Source organism: Homo sapiens, chromosome 4, assembly GCF_000001405.40.
Source record: "Homo sapiens chromosome 4, GRCh38.p14 Primary Assembly".
Classification (NCBI taxonomy): Eukaryota; Metazoa; Chordata; class Mammalia; order Primates; family Hominidae; genus Homo; species Homo sapiens.
The window spans coordinates 8,237,853-8,256,887 of NC_000004.12; the positions used below are offsets into that span (position 1 = coordinate 8,237,853).

General features: G+C 55.8%; 1 protein-coding gene across 13 annotated transcripts in view, besides 8 other annotated features; it reads left to right on the plus strand.

The window, feature by feature from the left end:
- Positions 1-3,251, plus strand: part of SH3TC1 (SH3 domain and tetratricopeptide repeats 1) — a 59,032-nt gene extending 55,781 nt beyond the window's left edge. For all 13 annotated transcript variants that reach the window (NR_134639.2, XM_011513488.1, NM_001410712.1 and 10 more), the window contains one exon: positions 2,846-3,251. Coding sequence is in view for 12 of the 13 variants with exons in the window: in XM_011513488.1 (XP_011511790.1) it covers positions 2,846-3,103 (258 nt within the window). In the remaining variant the exon portion in view is untranslated. The remainder of the gene's footprint in view (positions 1-2,845) is intronic.
- Positions 19-879: an enhancer, noted in NCBI's record as "H3K4me1 hESC enhancer chr4:8239598-8240458 (GRCh37/hg19 assembly coordinates)". NCBI's record gives its function as "activates a minimal SCP1, AML or CMV promoter by ChIP-STARR-seq in naive H9 embryonic stem cells {active_cell/tissue: H9 hESC(naive)}" and the evidence as "EXISTENCE:reporter gene assay evidence [ECO:0000049][PMID:30033119]".
- Positions 616-665: a silencer, noted in NCBI's record as "silent region_15260". NCBI's record gives its function as "represses an Ori minimal core promoter by ATAC-STARR-seq in GM12878 lymphoblastoid cells {active_cell/tissue: GM12878}" and the evidence as "EXISTENCE:reporter gene assay evidence [ECO:0000049][PMID:35858748]".
- Positions 880-1,738: an enhancer, noted in NCBI's record as "H3K4me1 hESC enhancer chr4:8240459-8241317 (GRCh37/hg19 assembly coordinates)". NCBI's record gives its function as "activates a minimal SCP1, AML or CMV promoter by ChIP-STARR-seq in naive H9 embryonic stem cells {active_cell/tissue: H9 hESC(naive)}" and the evidence as "EXISTENCE:reporter gene assay evidence [ECO:0000049][PMID:30033119]".
- Positions 4,208-4,769: an enhancer, noted in NCBI's record as "H3K4me1 hESC enhancer chr4:8243787-8244348 (GRCh37/hg19 assembly coordinates)". NCBI's record gives its function as "activates a minimal SCP1, AML or CMV promoter by ChIP-STARR-seq in primed H9 embryonic stem cells {active_cell/tissue: H9 hESC(primed)}" and the evidence as "EXISTENCE:reporter gene assay evidence [ECO:0000049][PMID:30033119]".
- Positions 4,486-4,615: a silencer, noted in NCBI's record as "silent region_15261". NCBI's record gives its function as "represses an Ori minimal core promoter by ATAC-STARR-seq in GM12878 lymphoblastoid cells {active_cell/tissue: GM12878}" and the evidence as "EXISTENCE:reporter gene assay evidence [ECO:0000049][PMID:35858748]".
- Positions 6,792-7,293: an enhancer, noted in NCBI's record as "H3K4me1 hESC enhancer chr4:8246371-8246872 (GRCh37/hg19 assembly coordinates)". NCBI's record gives its function as "activates a minimal SCP1, AML or CMV promoter by ChIP-STARR-seq in primed H9 embryonic stem cells {active_cell/tissue: H9 hESC(primed)}" and the evidence as "EXISTENCE:reporter gene assay evidence [ECO:0000049][PMID:30033119]".
- Positions 14,374-14,880: an enhancer, noted in NCBI's record as "H3K4me1 hESC enhancer chr4:8253953-8254459 (GRCh37/hg19 assembly coordinates)". NCBI's record gives its function as "activates a minimal SCP1, AML or CMV promoter by ChIP-STARR-seq in naive H9 embryonic stem cells {active_cell/tissue: H9 hESC(naive)}" and the evidence as "EXISTENCE:reporter gene assay evidence [ECO:0000049][PMID:30033119]".
- Positions 14,881-15,386: an enhancer, noted in NCBI's record as "H3K4me1 hESC enhancer chr4:8254460-8254965 (GRCh37/hg19 assembly coordinates)". NCBI's record gives its function as "activates a minimal SCP1, AML or CMV promoter by ChIP-STARR-seq in naive H9 embryonic stem cells {active_cell/tissue: H9 hESC(naive)}" and the evidence as "EXISTENCE:reporter gene assay evidence [ECO:0000049][PMID:30033119]".

Consider the following 19,035-nt stretch of genomic DNA (forward strand, 5'->3'; position numbering starts at 1 on the left):
GGCCTCACCCTCAAGAACTCAGCCTCAGCCAGGGAGGCTGATACATGAGTGGGCAATGGTGGCCTCTCGGTAAAGAAGGGGGATTGTAGTCAGGGGGGCCCTCCTGGAGAAGGGGACACCAAAGCTGAGTCTTGGCAGTCAAGTGTCAAGTTGTATCTAACAAAGAAAACAGGGTAGGGAGAAGGACATTTGGGGGGATGGCATCATCCTCACATTGAATCCATGTTGCAACATCCAACCCAAATCCTGGCGCCTCTGCTAGGAAGCCTGCCAGGGTGCCAGCCTGCACTGAGCAACTCCTTCCTGGAGTCCCGAGACACCTTGAATCTTCACATCACCCAGGCAGGGTGGGGCGGGGCCGGTGTCTTACCACCTGCTTCACAGACAGGGAAACCCCAGCTCAGGGCAGGTGCAGTGGGGCGGGGCCCCAGACAGCCAGGCTGAGGCCTTGCTGGTCGGGTCTGTCTGGAGAGGAGGTGCTGGGACCTGTGCTCCCTCTGCGCCCAGCCCTGCAGGGGTGGAGAACTGGGACCGGCAGACTCGGATCTGGGATGTCCCCACCCCCTTGCCCAGCAGGCGCCCGCCCCTACTCAGCATCACACTGGCACTGCATCGGTGCTCGTTGTGGGCTGGGGGGCCAGGGCGCTCCAGTCCAGGGACTGAGCTCTTGGGGGCCTTAGAACAACATGAGGAGCTGCGGCAACCCTAAGACCCCGCCCCGTATCCCCCGCGGCAGGCCTGGGGCTGCCAGGGAGGCCCCCGCCCGGTGCTGGGGACACCTGGTGGTCAGAAGCGGTCCCTGTGGCCTCCCAAGTCCCAGCCAGACGGGGAAGTGCCAGGTGTCTGGCCCAGAGGGACGCTGCTCACTGCTCAGGGGCTGGCCTGGGACCCAGGGGACGGGCCTTCCAGAGGGGACTTTATCTCTCTTAGTCATGCCTGCTGCCCACTCCGCCCACCCAGGAGGAAGGAAAGGACGAAGTAGTCCCTGAGAGGCCAAAGTCCATGGCTGGGGTCAAGGGGCACAGCCCTCTGGGCCTCATGGTGACTGTGCTGTCAGCGCAGGCCAGCTTCCCACAGGGAGGCCCCCTCGGAATTCCCCCAGGGCTGCTGTCTTTCCAAGGCCACACCCTCCTCCTTGTGTAGAGGTGCCGGATCCAGGGCCCAGAGAGGTGGCAGAGAAAGCCGGTTTGGATGGGGCCTGGAAGGCTGGCAGAGAGGCAGGGGTAAATGGGCATCTTTGCCGATTGCCTCTAAAATGGGGTCCCCTTTAGTCTACATGTGAGAGTGAGCCCTGGAATAGGGTGGATTAGGTGTGTCCTGGCTCAGCCTGCCACCCACTAGCTGCTGCACGCACTACAGGCACATGCAAATGCACATGCACGCTGCACGCACAGGGACACACACACACACACAGAGACACATGCACACACATGGACATGCACACATGAGCACACACAGGCACAGGCACAGAGACACATGCACACATGGACACGCACACGCAAATGCACACAGGCACACGCACACACAGGCACAGGCCCCATGTACACACAGGCACATGCACAAATACACAGGCACATGCACACACACGGACACGCACACGCAGATGCACACAGGCATATGCACACATAGGCACACACAGGCACACGCAAATGCACCCAGGCACATGCACACAGGCACACACACAGACATGCACACACACAGGCACATGCACACGCAAATGCACAGAGGCACACGCACACAGGCACGTGCACACACACAGGCATACACGGACACAGGCACATGCACACAGAGACACATATGCTTTGGCTGGCTCCTTCCTGTTTAGTTGGGATGCCACCCGCTTCAGGAAGCCCTTGCCTCCCACCCCAGGCTGAGTCTGGGGCCTCCTGGGCCCCCACAGGCTCCTGGGCTTGCCTCTGCCACAGCCCTGGCCACCCTGTGTGATCAGTGTTCACTCCCAGGTCCCCCAGAGGAGCAGGGACGTTAGGCTCAGCCATGCACCCGGCACAGAGTCCAGTGTTCGGTGGGGCTGGGGGGCGTTGGATGAGCAGTGATGTGACTCGGGCCCTTCTCGCACCCCTGCCCTGTGTGTGGGGCGGGGCCGTGAGGGCATGGGCTGCTGCATCTTAGACTTTGTCCTTGGCCCTGGGAGCCATCTTGAGATGGTAAAGGGGAATGGGCCAAGCTTGGGTCTTAGAGAGGTCCCTTGGGTGACCCCCATGTGGAGGAGGTGCCTGGGGAGAAGCTGGGTGGGGGATGGGAGGGTCAAGGAGGAGGTCTGGGAAGTGGCATCCCAACCCAGGGATGGTGAGTTTGAGCCACAGATGCATTGAAAATGGGAGTGGATGTCTGGGGCATCACACTCCGTCAATATTTCAGGGAAGATTCCCAGAGAGGACACCTGGGAGATGCTTTTATACCTGGCCCGGCCCATGGAGGGCCTGGAAATGGTCAGCATGGACAGGGGCCAGAGGGAAGCCTGGGTCACTCAACACTGTGCCCCTGCTGTGGCTGGGAGCCATGGGTCCTGCATGGAACTCTCAGAGCAGGCAGGATCCGCCCCAACCTCAGCCCACGGGGAAAGCAGCCACTGCCTGCAGAGAGGGTGGGGCTGGGACAGGAGGCTCGGGGTGAGTGGGGTGTAGGGACAATCAGGAATCCTTCCAGGGGGTGCCAGGGCCGTCTCCACCTCCTGCAGCTGAGCCCACAGCAGTGTCACAGGCTTCGGGGCTCATGGGGTGAGCCAGCATTGGCCGGACATGTGGAATGACCTGGGCACAGGAACGGCCTCTGGGGAGACTGGCTCCGAGTCCCCCTTTTGCTGAGCATGGCCTGTCCCCTTCAGGACCCGTTTGATGCAGCCGGGTACTACCAGCTGGCGCTGGCAGCCGCCGTGGACCTGGGCAACAAGAAGGCACAGCTGAAGATCTACACGCGGCTGGCCACCATCTACCACAACTTCCTCCTGGACCGTGAGAAGTCGCTCTTCTTCTACCAGAAGGCCAGGACCTTCGCCACAGAGCTCAACGTCCGCAGGGTCAACCTGCCTCCTCTGCCACTCTGCGGGTGGGCCCCCTGGTTGGCCCCCAGCCACCCTCGCTGAGGACAGCATCCAAGGGAGTGGGTTTTGTGCAAGGGCTGGGGGTCTCCTGCCTCTCCTGGTGTCGCCGGTGGCTCATTTTCTGGCAAATGGAGGCACGAACGCAGGGGCCAAATAGCAATAAATGGGTTTTGTTTTTTTTTTGCAATAACTTATTGAAGTCAGCAGGGCATCCTTCCCTAGTATGCTTCCTGGGGCGTGTCTAGGGGCCAGCTCCCTTCCCTGGGGGCAGCCCTGCTGCTATGTCCTGATCTTGGGTATGAGAAGGACCCCGAGTCCAACAGACCTGTGCCAGGTCACCATGAGCCTGGGTTTCGTTGGCGGCCAGAGGGGAGACGGTGGTGGAACTCCCTGGGCAGCTGCTCGGAGCTTTTGCCGTAGGTCTTGTGCCACCCTTGCCTTTAATCCTCAGGCCACTGTGCGCGGAGGTGGGGGCTGCTAGTGCCCCCATTCGCCAGTGAAGAAATAGAGACACAGAGAGGTTAACTGTCTGGCCCACCATCACACAGACGCAGAGCCCAGTGCGCTGACCACACCACCCTGCCGGCCTGCTGCCAGGAAGGTGCCCCCATTAGGACCCAAGGTCAGTTCCTGCACCTCTCTTGTGGTGTCAGGAGAGCCACAGGGCGGTGAGGGTGGCCCAGGGGATCCCCCACTAAGTGTCCTCTGGTCCCAGACTTGGCTGGGCTGAGCCTGACCAGTCCCACCTCCAGCCACTGGTCAGTCCTGTGGGAAGTGAGATGCAGGGATCTCTGCCTGTGTAGACGCTGCTGCCCAGTGTTGAAAGCCTTTTCTGGGCTGCCCCTCAGCCCTCCCCATGTACCCCTCCCCTTCCGGCCCCCGGCCCTCATCTCAGTCCCCAGGAATCCCAGGTTTTCCTTCTTGGAATCTCTTGGCCCCAGGAAACACGGCTCACACGGTCTCTTCGCCAGTTTACGGCAAGGAAACCGAGGTTCAGAGATTGTGGGTGCCCCACGTGATTCTCACAAACACTGCACTCTCCCAGGCCCCTCTTTTAAACACTTTTAAAATGAGGTGACATTCACATCGCATGAAATTAACTATTTCAACGTGAATAATGTGGTGGCATTTGTGCACTCACAGTGCTGTGCACCCACCCACACCGTCTAGTTTCAAAAGGCATTCATCTCCCCAGAAGAAACCTCCCGTCCTCATTAAGCAGTTACCCCTCCTTGGTATCCCCCAAGCCCCTCTCCTGGGGTCCGAAGAGGGACTTGCCAGTGAGCGGAGCTCTGATAATAAGGAATCAGGCACCCACTGCTGGTCCAGGCCTGGGTTGGTTTTCCACCCAGCAGAGGTGGCAGAGCCAGGAGGGTCTGGGAGCGCTACAGGGGAGCCCCATGCTTGCCGCCGGAGCCCTGCCCCGCCCCGAGCTTCCCCACCAGGGGGCAGCAGAGAGCTTTCCAGAACCCGCCGCGGGGCTGGAGGGAAGCAGTGGCTCAGAGCTGCTGACAAACCTCATGTTGACCCCAGACCGCTGTCTCTGTGGGTTGGGCTTGGGAATTGGAGAGGAGGCCGCATGATTGGAAACATGAAGACGGCACGGCCTGGCTGGAGCAGCGGGAAGCGTCGTCACGGTCACTGAGGACACAGACCTCCTGCCTGCCGGGCCGGGCCTGCAGCCATTCCTCTCGGGGTGGGGTCTGCAGTTCCGGGTTGCTCTCAGCCCCCGACCTGCCTCAGAGTCCTGGGGGCTTTGGGACTGTGCCTCCCCATTTCCACCCACCCTGGCTGGTGCCATCAGGGGCCTGGATCCTGGGATCCTGTTCCTCTCGGGCAGCAGAGCATGGGGGACCAGAGGAAACGGTGGGTCTTCAAGCCCCACATTCAAACCCCAGCCCACCACTCACAGTCTGGGGGTTCGGGGTGAGGGAGTTGATTTCTCTGAGCCCCAGTTTGGTCACCACTAAAATGAGACTGACATACTGGGGCAGAGTGCCAGCCCCAGGGCCAATAGAGGCCTGTTTCCTACTAACAATACTTCTTACTCCTAAGAAAAGCTCCAACAACCACACGCTATGGAACACTCAACCCAGGTCAACTTGTCAGAGACATGTGAACCAGAGCAGCTCCATCTTGAATGGGGGCTGGGTAAAGTGAGGCTGAGACCTGCCGGGCTGCATTCCCAGGAGGTTAGGCATTCTTAGTCCCAGGATGAGATAGGAGGTCGCACAAGATACAGGTCATGAAGACCTTGCTGATAAAGCAGTTTGCAGTAAAGAAGCCGGCCAAAGCCCACCAAACCCAAGGTGGCCACGAGAGTGACCTCTGATTGTCCTCACGGCTCATTATATGCTAATTAGAATGCATTAGCTGCTAAAAGACACCCCCACCAGCACCATGACAGTTTACAGATGCCATGACAACGTCTGGAGGTTACCTTATAAGGTCTCAAAAGGGAGGGGAGAAACTCTCAGTTCTGGGAATTGCCCACCCTTTTCCTGGAAAACTCATGAATAGTTCACCCCTTGTTTAGCATATGATCAAGAAATAACCATGAAAATGGGCAACCAGCAGCCTTTGGGGCCGCTCTGCCTATGGAGTAGCCATTCTTTTTTTTTTTTTTTTGAAATGGAGTCTCGCTCTGTTGCCCAGGCTGCAGTGCAGTAGCGTGATGTCGGCTCACTACAACCTCCGCCTCCCAGGTTCAAGCAATTCTCCTGCCTCAGCCTTTCTAGTAGCTGGGATTACAGGAACCCGCCACCACGCCCAGCTAATTTTTTGTATTTTAGTAGAGACAGGGTTTTGCCGTGTCGGACCAGGCTGGTCTCGAACTCCTCACCTCAGGTGATCCACCTGCCTCGGCATCCCAAAGTTATGGGATTACAGGAGTGAGCCACTGTGCCTGGCCAGAGTAGCCATTCTTTTATTCCTTTTCTTTCCTAATAAACTTGCTTTCACTTTATGGACTCGCCCCGAATTCTTTCTTCTGTGAGATCCAAGAACCCTCTCTTGGGGTCTGGGTCGGGACCCCTTTCCAGTAACAAACTTGCTTAACCTCTCAGACCCTTCGTCTCTTCATCTGTCACCAAAGACAAAGCCTACCCCAAGGTTCCAAGAGTGAGGAGAGAATGCATGGGAAACGAGGGGCACAGAGTTGGTGTGCAGAACCAGGCAGCCAGTCCCGTTGTTCTGTGGTGGGTGGAGGTCAGGGCTCGGCTGGCTAAGGCCTAAGCCCACTGGTCTCCAGCCCTGCTCTGCCCGTCGGAGGCTGGTTCCCGGGCAACAACCGCCGCAACAACAACCCCCTTCAGCAAAGTAGGCATGAGATGAAGAGATGTCCAGTGGGCACGTGCCCAGCTCTACGCAGCCAGTGGTCTCGCAGCCCAGAAGCCAGCTGCCCCAATTTTAGAAGGAGGCGGCCATGATCCCCAGGTTAACTCAGTCACCTTCCCACACACATTCAGCAAGCGCCCACTGCATGGGCTGCAGAAACTGCCTCAGGCAGGTGCAGGGAACTCCAGGAGTGTTCCAGGCCCTCCCAGAGGTGCTCCTGGGACTGCAGCTGAAATCACACTCCTTGTTGGGGTCCCTGGAGACTCTCCCCTGAACAGAGATGGAAAGAGCCTTGCCCAAGGTCACACAGCCCCCTCTCCTGACTCAGAGGCAAGGGAGCTCCGCCCAGCACAGCCGCCTGCACTCTCCTGGAGCCCACATCCTTCCCTGTACTGGTTCCTCCAGGGGTAAATATCGGCCGAGTCCAAGTTGGACCCTCATTTTGGATGAGGGAGCCGAGGCTCAGAGAGGGAGGGTCACCATCCTAAGGGTATGGAATGATCAGCATCCCAAGGGAACTGGCTGACCTGCTGCTGTTCCCTTGAATGGAGAGAGCACCATCTCCACACAAGGGAACAGCAGGGCCACCCAGTTCTAGGCAGGATTGGGCAGCATACAGGCCACCATTCCAAGGGTGCCCAGCAAGTCTACATCAGCCTTACCTTCGCCACGGAGCCCAGGAGTTGAGAGGAGGTGGTTTACGGCCCAGCGTGAGGCCAAACTCTCTCCTGAGCAGGGTTCTCCGGAGATGGGAGAGGCCACCTCAGGCAGAAGTGAGCTCCCCGTCTGCAGAGGGGTTCAAGCAGGCCACAAGGGTCTCCCACGTGAGTGGAGAAGTGTGTCCGGGTGACACTGTTTGGGCATAAAGGTGCCCTTGGACTCCAGTTGGCGCCATCAGTGATCCAGACTGTGTTTCCAGGGAGCTTGGCCGCAGTCAACTCACACGCCCTGTGTCCAGCGCCCGGCCTGGGGAGCAGGCTGTGGGTCTTAGGCCGGGCAGCTGGCGAGACCTGTGCACCGGCAGCAGGGTGGGGTCTATGCAAGCTCAGGGGCAGGAAGCAGGCTTGAGTCCAGGCTCTGCCTCTCTCTGACTCGCCCTGACCCAGAGCACCGGGCAGTGGGCTCCCGTTCGTATGCCTTGCCCCTCTGCGAGCCTCAGTTTTCTCAGCTATAAAATGGGGCAATGAGATGTACCTTGCTGAGCTACTATGAAGATCAACAGCATCGTAGGAAACATTTAGCACATTTTCCAGGGCTTGTCAGGTCCTCCAGGGTTGATGGAAAAACACAGCGAAAAGAATAATATGCCTCCCCCCAGATGGAAGTGCAGGCAGGCGGAATTCTAAACTGACTCTGCGTGCCTCCTTCCTCTTCAGCACAGGTGAGTCTGGGCTGTGATAGGATTATCACTTCTGCAAGTAGGTTGCAGTACGTGGGAAGGGTGAAGAGGTCTGCAGATGTAATTAAGGTCTCTAATCAGTTGACTTGGAGTTATTCAAAGGAAGATGATTGCAGATGGGCTTCGCCTAATCAAGTGAGTCCTGTGTAAGAGGGTTCAGCCTTCTCTGATTCTCCTACTGGCCTGGAAGTAAACAGCTTCCAGGCTGCACAGCACAGTAAACAGTGGGCTCCCCACAGAGAGGCCGGCCCAGTAGGGGCTGCAGGCTCTCTAGGAGCTCAACGGTCCCCAGCTGGCAGCCCTCAAGCACACGGGACCCCAGACCTACAATGGCACGGAGCTGAATTCTGCCAACAACCACGTGAATTTGGAAGGACGCTGAATCGTGGGGGAGATCACAGCCCAGCTGGCACCTCAATTACAGTTTGTGGTGACCCTGGGCAGAGAATCACATGAGGCTTCTGATGCAAGAAGCAACCCAAGAAAGGGGCGTTGCTTTAGGCTGCTGAATTTGTGATAATTTGGTACACAGCATAGATAGCAAATACAAGGCCAAGCCTAGGAATGGGGAGGCCGAGCCCCAGGCATCCCTCCAGCCCTGAAGGACTCATGGTGGGCGGTAGCCAGGCAGCCCTTCCCGAGGTCGCCTCCTCGCCTGCCCACTTACCTGTACCAGCAGGTCCACTCCTCAAACTGAGGTCTTCACGTTCAGCTCCCACACCAGGAATTAAGGAAGAAGGGAGAAGGAGGAGTAAGGCAGGAGAATGGGGAATTGGGGTAGCCAAGGGCTGGGGCATGAGCAAAGGAATAGCAGGTGCGGCCAGTTAGAGTAAGCCAGAGAACTGCAGGGGCAGCTGGTTCTAGGCAGGACTGGGCGGCACCCAGGCCACATCCTCGCTTCTGCGATAACAACACAGAAATTTCTACCGCAGCCTCTGATGGACCGCGGGCCAAGTGTCCACTTCACCTCTGATGGACCGCGGGCCAAGTGTCCACTTCACCTCTGATGGACCGCGGGCCAAGTGTCCACTTCACCTCTGATGGACTGCGGGCCAGTCCTTCATAGGGCGTAGCCAACTGGGGGCCTCTCGAGGGCACCCAGGGGTGTTGCCAAGTTCTTTAGCTTAATAAACACGTGAATTGAGGGGCCCTCAAGCCGCTTGCTAGAGCCGCTCCCACTCTGTGAATTGCACTTTTGCTTCTTCAGGAAATGTGTTTTGGTTGCTCCGTTCTTCTGTTGCTTGGTCTCTTGTTGCTTCTCTTGTTGCTTTGTGCGTTTTGTTCAACATGCCAAGACCCTGGACAACTCACAGTAATGACCTTCCATCGGGGAGCAGGGGGGCAGGTGTTGGGACCCCTGGCCTCCACCCTCCACCCAGCTGTGTGACCCCAGGACAGCCTGGGCTTCAGGTGGCCTTCTCTGCAGAGCACAGGGCACACGTCCTGAGCCCTGGCGTGGGCGTCCTGCGAGCACGGCCTCCTGTCCTGGACCCTGTTCGTCCGCTGCCGTGCTCACCAGGCCAGCCCTCGGTAACCCGCCAGAGCCAAACACAGGATTTCACAACCCCGGCCACTTTGGCCTGGGTCTGTGCGGCATCCCAGGAAAAGAGAATTCCAGGGCCAGGAGGTCTCCAGGAAGCAGGGCCGACCTCGTCCCTCCCATAGCAAACACGGCAGCTCCTCGTCTGTGACGGCTCCGATAAGCCCAGACTGCAGGATGAGGAGACCTCTGGGGACTCATCCGCATGGGGAGGGCTGGGTTTCCAGAGAAGTCTGAGAGGGGAGGCAGTTTCACAATGCCAGCACCCCAGGCTTCAGGCCAGGCCCAGCCCCTCTGGGGAGGATAGCCGGTGCCAGTCCCCTTGCCCTGTCCCCAGAGCCTCAGGGACTCCAAGAGGCCCAGGGGCAAGCCTCTCCCTTCACCTCCTGACCCTTGTCGGCCCCAAAGGGGAGCCCCTGTGTGCATCCCCACCTCCTATGCAGGAACGCACAGCAGACTGGCTATCTCCAGGCCAGCAGGGAGGACCCCGCTGTGTGGTCACGGCTCACACTGCCGGGCCCTGTGAACACACCCGTTCCCGACAGGGCCTGGATCCAGGGCAGAGTGCAAAGCTGGGCTGGTTCTGACCTAAGCCTTGTTTCCAGCACAAGCTTCGGGGGCCCCACCCGGGATGGGCCATGGTGACGGAGGAGGAGTGATGTTACCTTCCCACATGGATCCCACATGCTCTGGGACAGCCCTCCCTGTGCCGGGGGAAGTGCCCTGGAGGGAAGGAGGCCCTGGGACCACTGTGAGCTCAGCCTTCAGCCTTATGGGAGCTTCACCCCAAGCCCCTGACCCTGTAGGGACAGATCAAAGGAACCTCCAGAGCCACCTATGCTCTGGGGTCCCACTGGTGATCAATGCTCTTAGCAAAGGAGAGATGGTGTCGACCTCAACCTGACCAGGGCTTTCTGCTTTACCTAACAGCGGACGTAAGAAGCATTCCACTCAAGTTCAAGAGCAAGGCTCATCGTGTGGTCAACATTATACTGGAAGTCCCAGACAACGCAGCAAAACAAGGAAAAAGAAATCGATTCAAAGAATTGTTAAAGAAGAAACAAACTGACATGATTCACAAATGACAGGGTTGTTTACCCAGAAAATCCAAGACATCCCAGACAGCTTTTAGGGTCACTAAGAGGCCAAGTTTCCTGGGAAAAGAGTAAACAAAAGTCAATTCCATTCCCACAGACCTGGAACAGTGAGTTGGGAAATGCGATTATAACAATTACGCAATGTTGAATATCAAGAAGATAGACACTATGTATGATGGTTAATACTGTCAACTTGATTGGATTGAAGGATACAAAGTATTAATCCTGGGTGTGTCTGTGAGGGTGTTGCCAAGGGAGATTAACATTTGAGTCAGTGGGCTGGGAAAGGCAGACCCACCCTTAATCTGGGTGGGCACCATCTGATCAGCCTCTCACGTCCTCCTCAAAAACCCATTCCTGCCACATAACAAACCCAAAGGTGGAAAGCAAAAATGATGTTAACTTCTTTAAAAAATGAGGCTATTGGCCAGCCGTGGTGGCTCACGCCTGTAATCCCAGCACTTTGGGATGCCAAGGCAGGCAGATCACCTGAGGTCAGGAGTTTGAGACCAGCCTGGCCAACATGGTGCAACCCCGTCTCTACTAAAAATACAAAAATTAGCTGGGCAGGGTGGCACACGCCTGTAGTCCCAGCTACTCGGGAGGCTGAGGCAGGACAATCGCTTGAACCCGGGAGGCAGAGCTTGCAGTGAGCCAAGATTGCGCCACTGCACTCCATCTGGGCAACAGAGCACAACTCTGTCTCAAAAAAAAAAAAAAAAAAAAAAAAAAAGATATCGTCATGAGCCACAGTGGGAAAGAATTTCTCAAACAAGGCACCTAGAACATAAAAGGAAAAGATGACTAAGTTTGGCTATATTAAAATTACAAACCACTGTGTGGAAAAGACACCATGGACACAGAAAAGACATCATGGACACGGAAAACACACCATGGACACAGAAAAGACACCATGGACACAGAAAAGACAGGCCCCGAGCTCGGAGAAGATACTTGCAGCACAGGTTTTAGTCAGGGCTCTCCAGGGAAATGGGGCCAATAGGATATATATATATATATATATATATATATATATATACACACACACACACACACATACACACACACACACACACAGACACACAGGTAAATATGTACACTTATACATCATATGCATATATGTTCATACACATAGATACACACACACATACGGAGATTGATTACGGGAACTCAAGTGACTGTGGAGGCAGAGAAGTCCTATGAGATGCTGCCTATGAAGCTGGAGACCAGGAGAGCTGGTGGTGTGATTTCAGGTCTGACAGTCTGAGAACGAGGGGAGCTGATGCTCAAGGGCAGGGGAAGACGGATGTCCCAGCTCTACAGCAGACAGGGAGAGGATTTGCCCTCCCCTTACCTTTTTGGCCCATCTGGACCCTCAAGGAATGGGATGACGCTGCCTACCCTGGTGCTGATGAGGGCAGCCTTCTTTAATACTATGGATTCAAATGCTAAACTCTTCTAGAAGCGCTCTCACACACACCCCCCCAGAAATACTTTACCAGCCCAGTCAAGCTGGCACAAAATTGACACTCACCACATGTGTGCATGGTGCGCTACGTGGAATATATAGAGTTTATCATGTGCACGTGTGTAATACAGAATCTAATAGATTTCTTATGACATTTTATGTATGTATAACATCTGCAAACGTCATGTGTAACAAAGTACACGCATGCATGTGTGTAATATAGGATCTAATGTGTCAGATATGACATTTTATGTATAACATCTGCAAACATCATGTATAAGCAAGTACACGCATACACACGTACAGTTACAGACGTATTAATGATGGGATACATTCTGAGAAACGCGATGTTAACGCATGTTTGTGTGAACATCCTGGAGTGCTTATACACACCTAGATGGTCTGGCCACTGTACACTGGGCAGAGGGCAAAGCCTCTTGCTCCCAGGCTGCACGCCTGCATGGCGTGTGACTGTACTGAACACCACAGGCAGCTGTCACAGCACGGGAAGGATTTGTCTAATCATTGAAAAGGCATAGGGAGAGTTGGGGCAGCCCTCATAGAGCTGTCCCTGCACCCTCAGTGCTCATCGTTGGCCAATCTCCCCTACACATGGGGAACGAGGGACAGGCCTATGGCCACAGGGCTGGGAGGCACCCTGGCTCCACTGCTCAGAGCTCATTGCTGTGGGAAGTCAGCCCCTTGGAGTCCTGGCTTCCTCCTCTGCAAAATGGGGACAGTGATGCTGATGTCAGAGGTTCCTGTGAGGGTCATGTGAGGGTGTGTTTGTAAAGAACAAGCCCTCAATACACAGTGCTGTTACTGTTAGCTTTTTTTTTTTCTTTTTTTTTGTTTCTGAGACAGGGTCTCACTATGTTGTCCAGGTTTGTCTTGAACTCCTGAGCTCAAGTGGTCCTCATGCCTCAGCCTCCTGAGTAGCTGGGACCATGGCTGTTTCGCAGCACATCCAGCTGTTGTTGTTATCTTTTTAATGGAAAAAGCCTGGACAGGAGAGACCGGCGTGCATGGGCAGTAATCTATCCACCCCCGTGCATGGGCTGCACTCTACCCTTGGCCTGGTGGGCTCCTACCCACCCTTCAGGACCCCATGTGAATGACCCCCTTATAAGCCTTTTCTGCCTGCACCATCCCCTGGCAATTCCCCCACCTGGCTCTCTACACTCCCGAGTAGTGTTCATTGCACTGAATTGCCACCCACCTGTTTACCCAGCTCCTCCACTCCATGAGGTCCCGGAGCCTGGAGTGGGTCTCGCTCACCATCACCTGCCCACCAGCACAGGGTCCGCGCCTAGCAGGCGTTTGTTGAGGGAATAAACAAGCCCAGGCGCGGGTGTAAGAACTCCTGAAGGAAGGCAGGTTCCACGAGTATTGAAATCCCCTGAGAGGGACCTGAAAGGGAGGCAGAAAGCTTTGCCTGGGGCTGGGGTTTGGAAGGAGGCCTCGGCCTCCGAGGTCCAGTGGCAGGTGTGTCCCATGTGGTTGGGAAAGGGTTCTGAGTGTGCGGGAAGATATCCCATGAAGGGAATCTCTGGAGGCTTCTGCACTGAACGGAATGTTCTTTGCTCTTTCTCAGAAGTCCCTGCAGCCCCTTTCCTGACTGGACCTTTTGCAATGAGTGATTGTCGTGAGCATTTTCCACCGGGGATGGACCCACCGGCTCTTTTGAATTTCCTGCTGCAGAAATCGTGGCCAGGCTGCTTTTGTTAACTGCATGTTTGACAAATGAATATTCTCGAACACCCGTTCTGAACAATGGCCTGCGCTTCTTGGTGGGCAGTTGGGGCCGCTGCCATTTTAGGGACAAGGTGCATTACAGAGATCGCATGGTCACAGCCCCTTCTCGCAGCTGAGGCCCAAAGAGGGGAAGGGCAGAGCCTGGACATCCCTGCAGCCTCCAGCTTCCCCACAGCACCTGTGGTGGCGTTCCCATGGTAACCCTGGGGGTCAGCAGGCAGGGGCATCAGCCGTCGCTGGGAGGCTGCAGCAGGAGACAGGGCGGTGCCAGCCAGGTTGCTCCACGCCACCAATCTCCCCTCATCACCTGTGTCCATCTTGACGCGCCGTGTGTCTCACTAACCCTTTATTTCTCTGTTGCGTGAGGACCCTTGGTGCACAGCTCGGGGGAATAAAAATGGCATTGCAATTTGGGGCCAAAATGAAAGGGCAGGCGTTCTTTACCTGTTGGTCTGGCCGAAAGTCTAGCTCCGCACTCCAGGAGGCCTGTCTCAGTTTCCAGTCACCGCCATAACAAGTTACCCCAGTTTAGTGGCTTGAAGCAGCAGACGTGCCTCCTCTCACGGTTCTGGAGGCCAGGGGTCCAAATCAAGGCATCATCGGCAGGGCCATGCCCTCGGAAGGTGGGGAGAGGACCCTTCCTGCCCCTCCCAGGCTGCTGGCGACCCACAGCGCTCCCCTCTCTGCAGTGTCTTTACAAGGCCTTCTGCTCTGCGTGTCTGTTCCAACCTCCCTCTGCCTCTGTCTCCTAAGGACACTTGTGGTGGCGTTTAGGGCCTACTCAGATAGTCCGGGATCATCCCTCCATCCCAAGTCCCTGGGCTGAATCCCCGTATCCCTATGAGATCACAGGTGCTGGTTCCAGGTTCCCGGCACGAAGTCCTAGGGGGCCATTTTCTGGCTGACCACCAGGGATGCGCTCCAGATGAGCCAAGAGAGGGGCTTGAAGCCCTGGTGGATTCGAGAAGCAGGAGGCCGCAGGATGCAGAGCGGTGGGAGGCAGAACAGGGGAGGGTTGGCCTGAGGGAGCTGGTCTGCGGGAGGGGGGTGACGCCACTCCTGAGGCTGGGGAGGGCTGTGCGTGGCCAGGGTGGTCAGGTCCAAATGTCAAGGGGTACCTGCCTCTTGATGGGGCAATGAGGTCATGGAGGTCATCAGCCCCAGGCAGTGGCCGGGAATGGAGACATGGACCCAGATGAACTGGAAGCATGTTTACCCCGTTTCCCAGGGAAGGACGATTCAGGGCCACCTCCAGCCTCCCCACAGCCACCCCAGCACCCCCAGCTGCCGTGTTTCACCATGGCCGGAATCAGCATGGATTTACAGTGCATTTCCTAAGCCACTGCTTGCGTCTGCTGCATGACCCTACGTCCCTGTGGTTTTCTTATCTAGCATTTTGATGGGGAGTGGGGGAAGGGTGGCGGGTGTCGCTTAGTGAAAGAATATGCCCCTCTGTGGCAGGCAGCTCTGTGCTCCGCGGCTGGCTCTCCTATGCTCTTATCCCTGGGAGACTGTCTGTCCTCAGTTTCCCCACCTGTAATGTGGGATCGCGAACATCACAGAGGGGTTCCTTCCTCTCCCTCCCTGCCTTCCTCTCTCCTTCCTTCTTTCTGCCTCTCCTTCCCTCCTTCTTTCCCCTTTCCCTGCCTCTCTTCTCTCCTTCTATCCTTCCCTTTTCCCTCCCTCCCTTCCTGCTTTGACCATCTCCATGTGGAGGCGTGCATGACTAAGAGGAGCTGCCTCGTCTCTGTTGGGGTCCTGGTGACAGCACTGGGCATGGGGTGCTCCTGGAGGTTTGAGGGGCTCACTTCTATCCACCTCCAGAGCAGGTTTCCTTGTTCAGAGCAAGTGGACAGAATGACCCCCGGAGGGTCCCTGTCCACTTGTTACCGTGCAAAGGTCCCAAGCCCTCAGGGAGAAAGGAGGTCAGACACTGTTTGGCCTCTCCGGAGTCCAAACAGACAGGGCCCTGGTGCCTGGGTGTCTGGGCTGAGGTTGCAGGCTGGGGCTTGGGAAGATCAAGACCCTCTGAGTTTGCAAATTAGCTGAGGTTCAGAAGAAGCTTCAGCTATTGAAAGTAAAAATTGCTGGTCGAACTCTGTGGCTGAGATGCTGATGAATGAATGATACACAGCTGAACAGATGGGCATTGTCAGCGAGGGAGAGGATCTTGTTTTTTGTGGGTAATAGTTTCATTTCTGGATAAGTTATTTTCTTTTTTTTTCTTTTTTTTTGAGACTGAGTCTCTCTCTGTCGCCCAGGCTGGAGTGCAGTGGAGCGATCTCAGCTCACTGCAAGCTCCGCCTCCTGGGTTCACGCCATTCTCCTGCCTCAGCCTCCCGAGTAGCTGGGACTACAGGCGCCCGCCACCACGCCCGGCTAATTTTTTGTATTTTTTAGTAGAGACGGGGTTTCACCATGTTAGCCAGGATGGTCTCGATCTCCTGACCTCGTGATCCGCCCGCCTCGGCCTCCCAAAGTGCTGGAATTACAGGTGTGAGCCACAGCGCCCAGCCGAAAAGTTATTTTCAAATAGGTGACTCTCTTGTCATCAACAGTAACTTGGAATTGAGGAAGTAAGGTTGTGTGTGTGTGTTGTGTGTGTGTGTTGTTGTGTTTTGTGGGCATGTGTGTGCCTGTGTTTTGTGTGTGTGAGAGAGGGGGAGAGAGGCTCTGGCTGCATTGAGAACCTCCGTTTTCCTCTTACCAGTATGTGAGCGTCTTGGCAGGTCTGCGTGTCCAGGCCCGTCCCTCTTCTTTCTGTTTCTAGTAAAACCCCACAGCATTCCACTGTGCCAATGCCACTGGCTCAATCCATTCATTCCTGCTGCTATCACAGAATACTGCGGCCTGGGTGGCTTACAAACAGCAGACAGTTCTTCCTCCCCGTTCTGGAGGCTGGAAAGTGCAAGTTCAAGGAGAAGTAGTTTCAGTGTCTGGTGAGGGCTGCATCCTGATTTGTGGATGGGCTGGAGACGGCCACGTCCTGATTCATGGATGGGCTGGTGAGAGCCGCGTCCTGATTCGTGGATGGGCTGGAGAGGGCCGCGTCCTGATTCGTGGATGGGCAGGTGAGGGCCGTGTTCTGATTCGTGGATGGGCTGGAGAGGGCCACGTCCTGATTCGTGGATGGGCTGGAGAGGGCCGTGTCCTGATTCGTGGATAGGCTGGTGAGGGCTGCGTCCTGATTCATGGATGGGCTGGTGAGGCTGGTGAGGGCTGCGTCCTGATTCATGGACGGGCTGGTGAGCGCCCTGTCCTGATTCGTGGATGGGCCGGTGAGGCTAGAGTGCAGTGGCATGATCACAGTTCATGGAAGCCTCAAACTCCCAGGCTCAAGCAATCCTCCCACCTCAGCCTCCTAAGTAGCTGGGACTATAGATGCATGTCACCATGCTTGCTAATTTTGTTTATTTTTTGCAGAGACGGGGTCTCACTATGTTGCCCAGGCTGGTCTTGAACTCCTGGCCTCAAGTGATCCTCCTGTCTCAGCCTCACAAAATGCTGGCATTGTACACATAAGCCACAGCACCCGACTACAATGAAGATCTTGGCACATGAATTCTGTCTTTCCATGATTATATGCCCCAAGTCAGGTCTTCTGAAGTCATAAATTGTGAGGAGAAATCCAGTCCAGGGCCTTCCTGCACAGCCCCCTATAGCTGGTGGGGCCAGGGAAGATGCTCTCTCAACTCTGGGTTGATAGAGCCATGTGCTGGCTGTGTGACCAGAGGCAAGTCACTTTCCTCTCTGACCCTCTGGTTTCTTATTTTGTTTTTTTCTGAGACGGAGTCTTGCTCTGTTGCCCAGGCTGAAGTGCAATGGCGCAGTCTTGGCTCATTGCAAACTCTGCCTCCTATGTTCAAGCGGTTCTCCAGCCTCAGCCTCCTGAGTAGCTGGGACTACAGGCGCGCGCCACCATGCCGGCTAATTTTTGTATTTTTAGCAGAGACAGGGTTTCACCATGTTGGCTGGTCTCAAACTCCTGACCTCAGGTGATCCGCCCACCTCGGCCTCTCAAAGTGCTGGGATTACAGGCATGAGCCACTGTGCCCAGCCTGGTTTCTCTTCTGTACAATGCAATACACAAAGAGGGATGGGCATGTTTCCAAGTGCACCAGAAGCAGGTGGGCTCTAAACAGGGCATCCCAGCATGTGCCACGCCAGTAAGAGATCACAGCACCGTTCATCGGTCTGTTCATAGGGCCCCTGTTTTTTAAGTCCCTGCTGGTGCTGGGTCAGGAGTAGGCTGAGAGGAACAGAGATAAATGATGCATCCCATACTGTGGAGCGGAGGTGGACACTGCTGCTATTCTAGCCAAGAGGCAGACTGGCACGGGGCACGGGGCCACAGAGAAGGGAGGCGGGGAATCCCACCTGGGAGCAAGTGAGGCTTCACAGCGGGGTGCAGTGCAGGGGTCCACCTGGGGTGCGACACCTCAGCATGTCCTGCCTCCCTGTCCTCCCCCTGCTCCCTGAGTGCTGCTCAGGCATCCCCAGGACTCAGAGTGCTTGGGGAATACGTGTTAAATCACAGAGCCAGTGAGGAAAGAGCAAACGGGTGACGGTGCAGGGAGGGGGAGTTCCAGACAGAGCCAGCTAGAGGGTGAGGCCTTCTGGGACAATGACTTGTAGGGTGTGACAGCAGTGTGGGCTGCAGGGAGGGTTCGATCAAGCAGGCTGCCAAATGGGAGGGTTTCAGTATGAGCAGCTGCTGGCCAGACCCCAGGCATCATCCAAGAGTGGGCAGGAGCCACGCTGACACAAGCATCTCTGGCATTCTTGGCTCTCTGTCCCCGACCCCTCCCCTTGGCTTCTGTCTGTGTCACTCACAGGAGACTCATCCAGCACCATGAACCAGTTACAGAGAGGTGGCTTTCTAAACCTTTTAAAACATCTAATGCCTTTTAAAGATAGTGTTCAATGACGTCAAAGATACATTAAGAGAGGCCCTCCTCCTGGAGAAAGAAGAAACCTGGTAAAACCTTCCCAGAAAGCAAGCTGGCCCAGAGTCTTTTTTTTTTTTTTTGAGACAGAGTCTCACTCTGTCGCCCAGGCTGGAGTGCAGTGGAGCGATCTCAGCTCACTGCAAGCTCCACCTCCCGGGTTCATGCCATTCTCCTGCCTCAGCCTCCTGAGTAGCTGGGACTACAGGCGCCCGCCACCACGCCTGGCTAATTTTTTGTATTTTTTTAGTAGAGATGGGGTTTCACCGTGTTAGCCAGGATGGTCTCAATCTCCTGACCTCGTGATCCGCCCACCTCGGCCTCCCAAAATGCTGGGATTACAGGTGTGAGCCACCTTGCCTGGCCCCCAAGAGTCTTAAAAGAGTTGATATTCATGGGCCTGTGAAGACTCTTATCCTCACCTTATTCTTAT